This window comes from Homo sapiens, chromosome 20 (assembly GCF_000001405.40).
Source record: "Homo sapiens chromosome 20, GRCh38.p14 Primary Assembly".
In the NCBI taxonomy this organism is placed as follows: domain Eukaryota; kingdom Metazoa; phylum Chordata; class Mammalia; order Primates; family Hominidae; genus Homo; species Homo sapiens.
In genome coordinates, this window is record NC_000020.11 from 59425332 (window position 1) to 59439569 (window position 14238).

The 14238-nt window shown below is 45.6% G+C and overlaps 1 annotated feature.

Annotated features, from left to right (window-relative positions):
• Positions 12819 to 13374: an enhancer, noted in NCBI's record as "NANOG hESC enhancer chr20:58013205-58013760 (GRCh37/hg19 assembly coordinates)". NCBI's record gives its function as "activates a minimal SCP1, AML or CMV promoter by ChIP-STARR-seq in naive H9 embryonic stem cells {active_cell/tissue: H9 hESC(naive)}" and the evidence as "EXISTENCE:reporter gene assay evidence [ECO:0000049][PMID:30033119]".

Here is a 14238-nt window from a genome sequence, read left to right on the forward strand (position 1 = left end):
GGCTCTAAAAGATAAAAACAAAACAGCGAAAGTAGAATGAGTAAATGTTTGAGTACACATCTAGAAGTTTCGATGACTTCAAGTATAGTAAACTGTAGTCGCTTTCCTCGTAATAAAGTGTAAGTCATCAGAATAAAATGAGCAAAACAGATGTATCTTAAAATGCAAACTAAAACATTATAAGAAAATGGTAAGGACAAATTACAGTAATTTGTGACTTTGCATGTGAGTAAAATCCTGAATAATCGAGAAAGAAAGATGATCAAAATCTTTTCAGAGATTCTTGCAGCAAAAAAAAAATCTCATGTGACCTGGTAAGAGTTGTTGCAGGGCTCGGTGTGGCCAGACCCAAGAGGCCCTGCAGCACCTGTCATGGGGGACTCGTGCTCTGTGTCACGTAGTAGCTGCTCAATAATTCCTCCTGGAGGGGATTGCTGATGGAGTCCTTGCTTTTCCCTGGAAACAGTGGATTGTCAAGCTCCAGACAGAGGAAACTTAATTTGATTTTGTCCCCTGAGTCAGTACTGATTAAGGCTATCATAAAGTAAATTGGCTGAGTTGGGGCCCGTTTCAGGAGGAGCTGGAGTTGCTCTGCAGCCCAGCCTGGTTCTGAGGGCCCCAGGTGGTGGAGTCTGCAGCAATGGAGGAGGGGAGATGGGCACTCTGTATTAACCCAGCTGCAGGCGAGAGGGTTTAGGGGGGGATATGTGAGCCTCCAGGGTTGCAAGTCTGCCCTGCCCTTTGCTCAGACCAACACGTCTGAGTTGCCATGCATTCGAAGAGTGGGTGCCATGGTTCCCAGCAGACATGTGGCTCAGGACTTGGCCAGATATGCCTGGGTACCCCATGTACCTGGCCTATGCCGGTACCTCATGTGTGAGCTCTGTGACCCTGCATGGGGATCTCCCATCTCTGAGTCTCTTCATCTCTGTAGTTACTGTGAGGAATTCAATGTGTGCTAAATGCCCAGAAGCGTGTCCAGCACACCTTTTATGATAGGGCATGTCGGTGCACGTGGCACTGCACAGCTGGTTTCCCATCTCCTCTGCTGGGGGACGGGGCTGAGTCAGTTACCTTTGCCAGCATGTTTCCAGCACTCAGCAAAGAGTGTGGCACAGAGTAACCTCTCAGAGGTGGTTTGCTGAATGAGCACACCAACCCTTAGCTCATGTGACCCCCAAATCCCAGCTCAGGATGGAAAAGGCAAATTGGGAGCGGGGCCAGAGCTAGGAGAGGTACAGGATGGAGAGAAGTTGCTGGGAAGGGAGGCCGAGGTAAGGCCGGGCCGGTGAAAATGGGAACATGTTACTCAACCTCTGCCATGCTGGGGCCTGGGGAAAAGGATGCCTGCAGCTTTATGGAGGATGGGAGGGAGCTGGCTGTAGTTGTGTGAGGGCCCTTGGGACTGTAAAGCTGGAGAAACCTGAGGAGGGTTGTCAAAGGTGTGTTGGCCTGCTGCCATTAGATTACTTTGGTTGCAAGTAATGGAAAACCAAACTCAAGTTGACTTAAACAATTAAGGCAAGTTATTGGTTCCTGTAAAGCCTGAAAAGTCCCAAAGTGGATCTAACTTCAGTTTAGCTAGATCCAAGGACACACAGCAGTGGCACCAAGGACCCACTTTCTTTCAATCTTGTTGTTCAACCTCTTATAAAGTCAGCCAGGGCATTTGCATGTTGTCCCAACATTTGTCACTTGCAAATGGCTCTCTCTACTGCACAGGACATCATAGGAAAATCCCAGAGCAAGAGGGATGGGACTGAGTCCTGGTGCTGAGACTCTGGGGAGGGACAGACTACTTTGTGATTACTCAAAAGGCGAGGAGGGGTGATGAAATAAGCCATTTCTAAACTGTGCTTCCCAGACCTCAGGGTCATCCCAGAGGAAGGGGCTGAAGGGAAAGGGAAGGAGATGGGTGAGCTTCCAATTCACTCAGAAGGGCTCCTCTTTTATCCACCTTCCATGAAGGAGTTCAGACACAGAAAGGCTCAGGTGTAAGCCTGAAACTCACCAAACGAGCTGGTCCGAAGCACATTTTACTTTGAGTGCTCACTGTGTGCTCTGTTGAGTGTATTAATGGCTTCATAGCAACCCAGGAAGTGGATGCTATTACAACCCTCCCTTTATCTATGAGAAAGTGGAGGCCCAGTTAGCTAGTGGTAAAGCCAGAAAATCTGACTCCAAAGCCTGTGGGACAAACCCATCTCTCCACCGAGCCATCTTCTGTACACAGCCACCCTTTTAAACACAGATGCAGTAATGCACACAGTAGGTGTTCAGCAAGTGTTTCCTGACTGAATGACTGACTGCAGGTCTGCCTGGGTCCATGGCTCATGCTCTTTGTACACTTCATTTCTCTCAAGTAGGACAATGTTTAGCATTCCTCCAAAGAACCCTGCTGTCATCTTTGGGAGTTAAGAAGTTCAGTTCTTCCCTGTTTTTGTAATTACAGGATGACCCCAGGTCCATTTTCCAGGAATTCTTTGAATTGAGAGGGACCAAACTATGAAGGAATGCTGATGAGCCTTAGAATTGGTTTCTGTCTGCGTCCCACTTCTTGCAAACCCCTAGTTATTAAACACTGTAATTCTTGCATCTATAGGAGCCCTTTCCCCAATTAGTAAATAGATATGCCTGACTGCAGTCACTTGACTTGGCTGACTCATTCATTCCTTTACTCACTTATTCACTCATTCCTTCACTCACTCATTCACTCATTCCCTCACTCATTCATTCCTTCACTCATTCATTCATTCATTCACCCATTCACATATTCACTTATTCATTCACTCACTCATTCACTCATTTATTCACTCACTTACTCATTTATTCACTCACTTATTCCCTCACTCATTCACTCATTCCTTCACTCATTCATTCATTCCTTCACTCATTCACCCACTCATTCATTCATTCCTTCACTCATTCATTCTCCCATTCACTTATTCATTCATTCACTAAGTCATTCATTCATTCACCCATTCACTAATTTATTCCCTCATTCACTAATTTATTCCCTCATTCACTAATTTATTCCCTCATTCAGTCACTGACTGACTCATTCATTCAATCACTCATTCACACAGACATTCATTCATTCACTCACTCAATATATTCATTCTCTCACTCAGGCATTCATTCACTCAGTCACTCATTCATTCACCCCCTCATGTATTCAGATATTTTATAGAGCAGCTCCACATGTTCATTACAGTTGTGGGCACTGTAGAACATGATGTTGAACAAGGTAGGTCCCTGTTGTCATAGAACTAAATGCCCACAGGGGGCACTGGACCTGCAGACAAATAAGCAATGCTAACGGTGGCACCAGAAGAGGGTGAGGGGTGCCCTGGCAGTAGTTCCAGCAGGACCTGCCTTTCTGGGCATCACAGGAAGAGATCGCCCTGTGGAGGAAAGGAGTTACCGAGGAAAGGAGTTACCAAGGCAAGGGGAGTGAGGTTGGAGGGAATGGAGAGAAGTGTTCATGTTCCAGGCAGAGGGTACAACAGGGGCAAAGGGCAGCTGGACGTGGGTTCCAGAAACGGAAAGCAGCAGTGAAGTGGGAACATGGGAGGGAGCCAAGGGAGCGCAGGATCCTTGCCATAGTGTCAGTGCTGCGGTATCGCGAGCCATCTCCAATTGCTTCTCTCATGCTTGGACGTGTAACTCTTGCATTCCTGAGAGCTGCAAGCCCTACAGGAACTGAAGGTAGGTCATCCCCCTCAGGAATGCTGCAAAGAGCAGGAGCATGGCCCTGGGGAAAGGAGGCTCCCACAAGACCCACTTGGGTACCAGTCGGGGGACCCAGGCCCCCATCACGTCCCAACAGCCCCACAGACCTGTCCCTCTGGAAAAGCAATGGTTTGGCGAAGTGTCAACAGCATAGCCCAGGAAGATTCTGGAGATACCTAAATTAAAGCAGCATGAGTGTAGGGGAGCCCCTGTTTCTCAAAGCCGGGGGTGCCAAATGTTATGGTGGAAGCATCTGGAAGCTATGGATTGAGGCACAAGAGCAAAAATGAGATGAATTCAGTGCAGTCCAGACTCTCCTGTCTCCTGCCCACAACCCCCAGGGCGCTCAGTGGAGACGGACCCCCGCAGGTCCTTGAAAAGCAAGGAGTGGCTCAATAAGTAGGTTGATTTGCATTTAATAGGGGCACAAATTGCAACAACAACTAACCGTGGTGACAAGCAATTATATTCGGCTGAAATTAAAAATGAAAGTAAAAGAAGGAACACATAAGAAATTCAGCCATTTCCTTCTTGGTCATGGGGATAGAGGGAGGATGACAGACAGAGCTCTGGCTCACAAGAACTCACACTTGGTTGAATTCAAGGCTGTCACCGTCCTGAAATTCTTAGCGATGTTGAACAACGGGGCCAACACATGATGCGGCTGGGCCCAAATACAGAATCTGGCTGCCATATCTGGTTTGTGCCTCCATGAAATTGTCCTTCCCTCTGTCATACAAATGTATTCCATCCTATTTCTCAGATGATTTTGTGGCAGCATTTTCTTTTTTTTTCTTATTTACCCAGCCTTTTAAAGTATGGTATAGCATGTGATCAGCAAAGTTTACAAATCGTATGAGATGACTTTTTAATATATGGTCCAACTCTTGTAAAAGTATTAAAACTTCCGTCCCCCACAGAAGGTTCCTGGCACATATTTGGAGTCACCTGGCCAGGAATCCACCAACCTGATCACTATCACCATGGGTACATTTTGTGGCACTATTTCACCTCAGAAAGATTTTCTTTTCTTTTTTTCTTCTTTTTCTTTCTTTCTTTTCTTTTTTTTTTTTTTTTTTGGAGACTGAGTCTCACTCTGTCTCCAGGCTGGAGTGCAGTGGCGTGATCTCAGCTCACTGCAACCTCCGCCTCCTGGATTCAAATGATTCTCCTGCCTCAGCTTCCCGAGTAGCTGGGATTACAAGTGCCTGCCACCACGCCCAGCTAATTTTTTGTATTTTTAGTAGAGATGGGGTTTCGCCATGTTGGCCAGGCTGGTCTCGAACTTGTGATCTGCCTGCCTTGGCCTCCCAAAGCACTGAGATTACAGGCATGAGCCACCGTGCCTGGTCAAAGATTTTCTTATCTTTTTTTTTTTTTTTTTTTTTTTTTGGCAGATTCACTCTTGTAGCCCAGGCTGGAGTGCAGTGGCATGATCTCAGCTCACTGCAGCCTTTGCCTCCCAGGTTCAAGTGATTCTCCTGCCTTAGCCTCCTGAGTAGCTGGGACTATAGATGCCCGCCACCACGCCTGACTAATTTTTGTAGTTTTAGTAAAGACGGCCAGGCTGGTCTCGAACTCCTGACCTCAGGTGATCCACCTGTCTCGCCCTCCCAAAGTGCTGGGATTATGGCATGAGCCACTGTGCCCGGCCAAGATTGTTTTATATAATTTCCCAACTACTCTTGTGGGTTATTCAGGCCCCTGGGAATCCAGGAAATCCTAAGGGGAGAAATAAAACATAGAACTTCAAGTAACTCTCACTATGGCAAAAGCACCTAAAGTTGAAAGATGTTCTAAGTCTTTCAAATAATGTAAGACATAATTCCATTTTGGAGGTGCATTTCTGCAATGAGATTCTTGGGTCTTTTAGGCGGTGCTTTCAGGGATCTGGAATCATATATTTTGAGATGATAGATTATCTTAAATTATCTTAATTGTTTCATTAACATGAACTTGATATAAAGTAGCCTCTTGAAGTGCATTGTAAGGAGGGAAAAGAGATTAATAACCTAATCAAGCATTTGGAAACAACTGACATGCCTCATGGAGAGAGTACTCTAAAAATTTCATTTAAAAATGTAATTATATTGATTGGAAAGATGGATTTCTTTGTTTCAGAGAGCAGATCTTATAGTTTGAGAGCATTTAGCTGAATTGATAGAATTATATTTAAAATGCTATCTTCTTAATTGCATCAAAACGTAATTTTCAGGCTTTTACTGCAGAAAGAGTTGGGTTTCTGGAGCCTTCTGCCCTTTTAATGTTGATTTCAGGTGACCACTGGTGTTCCTGGGAAAAAGAAACATAAAAACAAAAGGATTTATATTTACGGTATTTTAGTTCAGAGCCAACCTTGTGGTAGGGAAGGTGGCTGTGACCTTTGTAGGTGGCGGTGCAGGTGTGAGGGGATAAGGAGGGGGCGCTCTGCCAAAGCTCTTTAAGGAATGCACCCCAACTCTGGGTCCTCGGTGACCTCAACCTTCCTCCCTGGATGCTGCCTTTTCTTTCTGGAGTAAGACCTTGGCATATTTTTAAAAATCTTCTTGGCAGTGTCAGATTTTCGTTATTTGAGGAAGGTTGCATTTTTCGAAAGAAGTCGTTTGGAGCTAAGACTAGGTCATGATACGCAGGGAAATATCACTCTGAGATAATATTCCAGACAATGAGTCAAGTCCCCAAAGCCAAGGCTGATCTTCTCACATGGCTTCAAAAGCCCCTGGACTTTCGTCCTGAGGGTCCCCTTCCTCCGGGCCATGCACGCATGAAGATGTTCAAGCACCTTTTTGCAAATAGCTGCATAAACAAACAAGGAAACAAACTAGAAAACTACCTAAATGCCTCGGATTGGGCCTTGCGGAGGCTCCTGCCACCTGTGCCCCACAAGAGATTTTCACTATAAAGACACTGAGAGATATGAAAACATTTCTGAGAGAATGTCGGGTTGGGGGATCCCAAGAATCAAACTGTAAGTACACACGACAGCTGCAAAAATAAAAAGAGCTGCTGTGTCAGGGTGTTGGGATTGGGGGACTTTTCCTCTTGTTTTCACCTAAAACTGTGTCTTAATGAAAACCAAAATCCAAAGAACAAAGAGAAGCATGTAAAAAGTTCTATAAAAAGCAGGCTCCTGTGCAATGTATTTCTGAAGGAGAAATGACAAAGTTTGGGCCGGTGATGCTGTCTTTAGATGCTGTCTCAGAATATATCATAATCTCTTAAGGTAACCTTGGCTGGAGAAGACACTGTGTGTTTGGAAGCGTATGTTTCCTTACATTACTTACTAATAGTAATAAATAGCATTTGTGGAGTTTACAGAAAATATTCCTGCAAAATAACTCACCCCATCCAGTGCAACCCAGAGAGGCTATTGCTCCTATCTCTACATGACAGGGGGGGATAAGGGATGCTGGGAAGGCCCTAGATGATGTTACTGAGGGTTCACAGCAACAGGATGGGACCCCAAGTAAGTAGCCTGTCTCCCCATCTGAGGCCTCATTCAGGGGGAAAAGGACTTGAGAAGATACCAGTCTGTTCGTTTTTTTTTTTTTTTTTTTTTTTGAGACGGAGTCTCGCTCTGTCGCCCAGGCTGGAGTGCAGTGGCACAATCTCGGCTCACTGCAACCTTCGCCTCCCGGGTTCAAGCGATTCTCCTGCCTCAGCCTCCCGAATAGCTGGGATTACAGGCACGCGCCACCATGCCCAGCTAATTTTTGTATTTTTAGTAGAGACGGGGTTTCACCATGTTGGCCAGGATGGTCTCGATCTCATGACCTCGTGATCCGCCCGCCTCGGCCTCCCAAAGTGCTGGAATTACAGGCGTGAGCCACCAGATACCAGTCTGTTCTATCCTCTGACACAGGGAGGCTCTCTTGTCTACACTCCCTCCCCATAGGTTTCCCAATTTTGTTCAAAATTGGTTTCACTCAATCCCCATGGCATCCCTCAAAATGCCTGCTGACTATTTGACCGGACTACCTCTTGCAGGTAGGAGACGAAATCCCAATTTGAAGTCAGGAGATCACAAACTCAAATTCCTACAGGAGTCAGAGCTAGGGATGACAGTCCCTGTTCTCATATTAAATACATAGGAATCCTCTTTACTCTCTCATAGAAAGGTCTATTCCCTAATTTTTTACTCAAAACATGAAACTCTTTTGATTTATCTGTTCCCATTATTTACAAAGCCTGAGATAAAGAGAGATATTCATCTAATTTAAGAAAAGCACCATGCAACCAACTGATAATTGGCAAGAAAAAATAGACTCAGGGAAACAATAGAGAATGGTGGGGATTGTGGCAAAATTGGAGTGTTCACATTTTATCCAAAGGGAGCTCAGTTACAACTGATAGCTGCCATGTGAAAAAGAAGACCCTATGTTGTTATGTTTTCCTATTTTCAAGAAGAAGCTGGAGACCCAAATATGAGAAATTTCGCAATTTTGAAGTATATTGAAAGAGAGAGTCTCATTTTGAAGAATTTCAAGAAATTATATCAGTTAAGTGTCTTGGTTTGGGTTTCCCCAGAAACAGACCATGAGACAAGGACTCAAAGACAAATGGTCTATTTGGGAGACAATCTCAGGAAATACCCCTGGGAGAGTGGGAAGGGAGAGTCGGGGAGGAGAAGAAGAACAGATATGCTCTCGAACAGTAACTTCTGGAAGCAGCAAAGGTTCAGATTGGTCAGAGATGGTATAGAACAGTGCTTTCCAAATGGTCTATGGTGAAAGATTTGTTTCTGTTGCCAAGCCATGGAGGGTTGATATTTTTGTAAAATAAGAAATGGGAACAGGCCGGGCATGGTGGCTCACACCTGTAATCCCAGCACTTTGGGAGGCCAAGGCGGGAGGATCACAAGGTCGGGAGTTTGAGACCAGCCTGGCCAATATGGTGAAATCCCGTCTCTGCTAAAATACAAAAATTAGCCGAGTGTGGTGGCAGGTGTCTGTGGTGCCAGCTACTTGGGAGGCTGAGGCAGGAGAATTGCTTGAACCCAGGAGGCGGAGGTTGCAGTGAGCCGAGACCATGCCACTCCACTCTAGCCTGGGTGACAGAGCGAGATTCTGTCCCCCGCTCCCCGTCAAAAAAAAAAAAAAAAAAAGGAACAAAGCCATAGAAAATATAAGCCCCATTTAAAAATTATTAATTTGCTTCAACAGTTGTAAATTAATGTTCCAAACTGCTGTAAAAATTTCTAAATGCTTGTGCTCAATTTCAGTACTTAGCCCATCACAGGCTGGTAATAAACAGCTGAGAAAACCAGCCCACACTGATGCGGACCCATGCTTGGAGTACTGGGACGGGTGCAGATAGCTCATGACTATCCCATCTGAGGGTGGAGGAACCTGGGATATTTATCCACCCCGTCCTGCTTGCACACGATTAGGGGCTGTTTCCAGGGGCAATTCCATGTGTGCTAGGTAGGCCGGGGGTTCCTGCAGCCAAACAGCCCCGCAGTTGAGAGTTGCGAGGAATGCTGGAAGCAGCCTTTCGGGGTAGAGGTGAGTGCTAAGGGAATGTGGACGGGGCGGCAACAGCAACTGCTAACTGAAAGTCTTGATTCCTCTCAGCTCCATCGCCATGGTTCTCAAAGTGTGGCACCTGGGCTGGTAGTGCCAGCATCACCTGGGAACTTGTTAGAAACGCAAATTCACAGGCCCCACTCCAGACCTACCAAAGCAGAACCTGTGAGGGTGGAAGCCCAACCATGTGGATTTTGACAAGCCTCCCAGAGAATTCTAATATATGCTCAAGTTTGAGAACCACAGCTCGATTGCATTTTAAAGCAATTAGGCCAAGGGGAAATATCCTTGTTCTTACATAAAACCAAGATGACCTTAACTAGCATTGGCTCCTTTCTTTCAACAGGCTCAAAGTGAACTCATTTTCATAAGAATTGCATTGTTTAAATAAATATGAAGTTTAAACTGTATATATCCTGTCCCATGCCAATAAGTCCAATGCATACAAATCACTTTAAAATCCACCCATGGAGATCTGTACTCAGTGATGTTGCTAGAATCACTCCTCTGTTAGATATCAATAGTGGCAGATGATAAACTCTCTTCTGCAATGTGACACCTTCTTTACTAATAGACCATTACGCTGTCTGAATCAGAGTTTCACTGATTAAACAGGAAATGCCATCTGTAGAGTCTGGTATCCTTCCAGGGTCTGCAAAGGTTGGGACCAGATAAAAAATAAAAAGCCTTTTCTTTGCTCAACTTTTAAAACAATTATTCTTATTTTTCAAGGCGTATTCATATAAACAAAGAGAGCCTGGTCATAACCTATGAAATAGGCCAAATAATAGTAGGGATGTCAGTATTCTGGGGACAAGGAAACAGCAGCAGGATGAGGAGGGACTTGCCGGGTGCATGTGTTTGCTGAGGGTGGGGTCCCACCTCCCCACCTCTTCACCTCCTTCCCCACCCCTTCCCCACCTGGTGCTGTTTATTTCCTTTAACAAGAACCAGAACTTGGATGGTTCTGCTCAAACACAGCAGCTCTGACACCCCTAGAAAGGCTGGGAAACATGGAGGTTCTGTTTAGCTTTCTGTCCCTGCTGTCGTGAAATAGCCCCTCGTGAATGAAATTCTGCGCACAGCGTCACCACCCAGCGGAGCGTCACCTGCTCTAGGCCTCACCTCCCAGGTGGTCAGGGTTTGTTGATACCTTGGTGTCGCCAATGAGTCTGATGAAGACAGAAGGTTTTCATTAAGTAGATAATTGCTCCTGAGAATAGAAATGCAAACGGAAGCACAACAAATGTGCTTTGCTATTTGTAGACATTTGTCAAGTTTAAGAGAATGGGCCACATTAATTTGAAGGTTTAATTTCTTGGCATTTGTGGCTGTCTCTGTTAAAGTGGTTCTCATCTGGGGTGATTTTGGCCTCCCCCCGCCCCCCACTGTGGGTACATTGGAAAATGTCTGGGGACGTTTTTGGTTGTCACAAGCAGGGGGTGGGGAGGTTGCTGATATTGAGTGGATGGGGATCAGGGATGCTGCTATACATCCTGCAATGCACAGACCTTCACCACAGAGAATGAGCTGACCCAGGCTAAGAAATGCTGCTCACATGTATACATATGTAACAAACCTGCACATTGTGCACATGTACCCTAAAACTTAAAGTATAATAATTTAAAAAAAGACAGAAATTCTGCTCTATGGCTTTAAGCCAGTACAATTTTTCACAATCAATCATAATAAACCAAACACACTAGAAAAATAGAAGAAGTTGGGGGGAGGGATTTTTAGCATTAAAAGTACAGATTTGCTATAAGTGAAGCTGGATGTCTTGGTTTTGTCCCTCTTTGCCTTAGGAAGGGTTATGCCCACTGAGAGTTCATTAGTTAGTATTTTTCGGGTCTATTTTAGGCAACCAACCAACCAATTTATTTTTTTTAATGAAAGTTTAAACCCTCACCTTGGGCGAACTGTATCGAAATATGGATTAGGTGTGCACAGGCTTTTCCTGCTTTGGCCAGCCACTGGCCTGAAGAAAATGCTAACCTTTCTCACTCGAACAGTTCAGCTGCCTTTGATGGATTTTTATTGAGTGTCTACTCTGTTAGCCACCACAGAGTTACTGTTAGGTTGGGGGGAACTGGGAGAGAAGAGGTTCAGGCCAAGTAAAAAGTACAATGTCAGAAGGAGACCAGCGAGGAGCTAATAGGGGTGAGACTCAGAGGAGCTGAGGAGGGAGAGAAAGGGAGAGGCAGGGTCAGGAAGGTCTTCCATGAGCCCCGGCCCCCAAGAACACCAGGTTTCTACCAAGGCACAACTACTCCAAAGCCCTAGAGAAAATTCTCTGAAGTCACATGTGGTAGAAATTTCACTGGAATTCAGAAGTGGGTCTATTTGGTTTCCTTCTTTCTACTCCTTCATCCTTCTACCTGCTTTCCCAAACACTGGCACCAAGAAGAAAACAAAAGTCTCCGATGCACAAGCTCCCTAGAGCCCAGAAGCAGGTCTTCCAGTTTCTTAACTGGAGACATAAAGGCAATCATGCCTGCCTCCTTCCTCCTGTAGAAATGAATACATTTTGGTAAACTATTTGAAGATGCACAGGAAGACGCAATCATTCCCAGCTGAAATGGACCATTGCAGACTCACCTCATGAAACACATCTCATCTGCCCCCTCTCATAATCGGATTATTAGTGTGAAAATGGAGCCCACGTGCCCGGTTAGGGATATACAATAATGTTAATAATATTTATGATGTCTAGAGGGCCTTCCTTTGGTCTGGTGGTTGGGAAAGGGGTTGGAGTGGTTCTAACATAATCTTCACAACAGAAGCCTGGGTCCCACCAAGAGAAGATGCCCTGAGACAGACGCTGTCCTGAGAGTCCATGAAGGAATGACGCTCCTTTCCAGTACTAGGCAGACCCAGTAACTCCTACTTCCAAGCATGTGACTGGGACAGCCCCATTTTCCAAGGAGCTGGTGTGATGGTTTTTGACCTGATAGTGGTGACTTGGTTCCAGTTGTTTCCTGAATGTTTTTACAGAAATAACCAATGTATTTCCGGTGCAGTGTTCTATCTTAGCTGACAAAACAAGAGGTGAGGCTCAGCCTGGAGTGATTCCATTAAACCGGATGGGCACAAGATACGGGCCAATCTGGTTACCGTCCTGGAAGAGATTTCATCTAGAGGCGGCTAAACAGGAAATTGGAATTTCTCTCCTCTCAAATGATTCATTATCGCTACAGCATCTTAATAAAACAGACAAGGGGTCAGTAATTCGAGCTCGGTAATTAAGTGGAAAAAGAACAGCTTAGTACAACGGTTGAGCACCGTAATAGATTCTGACATATAAATGAAGGGAAGGGGAGTGGGGATGACAAGGTAGATGAGATATTAGACAGCTGGCCCTGAGCTTGTCATTTTCCAGTTGGTGCAGAACGGGGCTTTGTTCAGGTAAAATGGCTTTTGTTGGCCGGGGCCACTGTTGCGGCCTTTGACAGGCGGCCCAGGCAATTTCATTTATCCAGATTATAAGACAATTAAATGAAAATGAAATGTTTGTGTATTTCCATTTCTTTTAATACTGGCAAATGCAAAGTTTCCTAAGAAGCTTGCCTGGAAAAAGAAATTCATCTCGGCTTTCAAAGTGGGTGGAGTGGAGAAGTAAAATTCCTTCTGTGATTTTGGGGCCTATACGAGGAAGAAGGAATTTCACAGGAAAATGGAAAGAAAGAAAAAAAAAAAAAACACCTCCAGCTGTCATCTTCACTGTGCTTATCTCTTGCCTAATTATAAGATTGAGAGACCATTGCCCCAGGCAGTGCAGGGCTTGGTTTAAGAAAGAGAGCTGTAAGGATGCTTGGTTTACCTAAACAATAGGCTTTGTCAAATACCTATGGAGCGGGTGAGCTGTCATTCCAGGAGCTGGTTTTCCAGCACTCTGAACTGTCTTGTGCCTTCCAGCAGCCCTGCTCTGTAATTAAACAGCCAACCTGGAGATTAGGGGCTCCCGTGAAGGGATTCATTGCAGGTACCGCACATGTCTGTAGCTAGAACCCAGTTTTATGGACCTTCTGGTTGTCAAGTTTTGCTCTCATTTTCCCTTTCCTCTTCAGAGATAATCACACAAACAATTTCATTTGTCTTTCATGCAGAGAGAGAAATAGCAGGTTTAACAGTCCTGAACACCCATCTATGGTTATCTCAGTGTTCTTTATCTCTGAGTCAGGGGAATTTTCTACCTGTTGACATTCATGTCTTCCTGAATGCCCTGGCGACTCCTGTTCTCAGGGCCACCCAGCGCCACTGCCACGACTTCCAACAGATGGTTGTTTCTTCCTATACCTCTGTCCTGGCCCCAGCTGTCCAGCCAGGTCCTTTTTCCCTTCCAGGGTTGGAAAGTACTTCTGCCTGCAATTTTCCAAGCCTTGAGCATGTTAATCAGTTGCTCCAGATCTGCTGGTTGAATTTTAGGCCACCAGCACAGAGCACAATGGCTGGACTCAGGTGTCAGATGCCCAAAGAGGGGCAGGGGCTGCGAGAACCTGGCGTGGTACAGCACAGTGAAAATATCGAGTGCCAGTCAGGTCTCGCGGCCTAGGCACTTGCTTTACAACAAGCTAATTATTTTATCGGTTTCCTCTGCATGTGGCAAAGGACGGTGGAGCTGCAGGAAGCACTTCGATTCTTCTGTTCTATCAAGGTTCAAGTTGATGCACAGAAACGGGAAACCCACCAGGACTCTCTCCTTCTTAGACAGGGAAGGGATGAGAGTCTCGTAAATGGAGTCCTGGTCAAACTCTGGCTTACCATGGCCCACTGGGCCCCGAGACTCCCCAGGGTCACTGCCTGGTCTGGTCCGGGTGCATATTTTGGGCTGCCATGCCCGGCAGGTGGAGCCATCCCACATCAGCTCTGTGTTCTGTGTAAGAGCACTCTCAGTGGGGAAGGTCAAGTGTTCCCTCAGCAGCTTCAGCCTCTCTGGTCCAGATATCCCATCTCAGGAGGCAGGTCGTGATGAGTACCAACC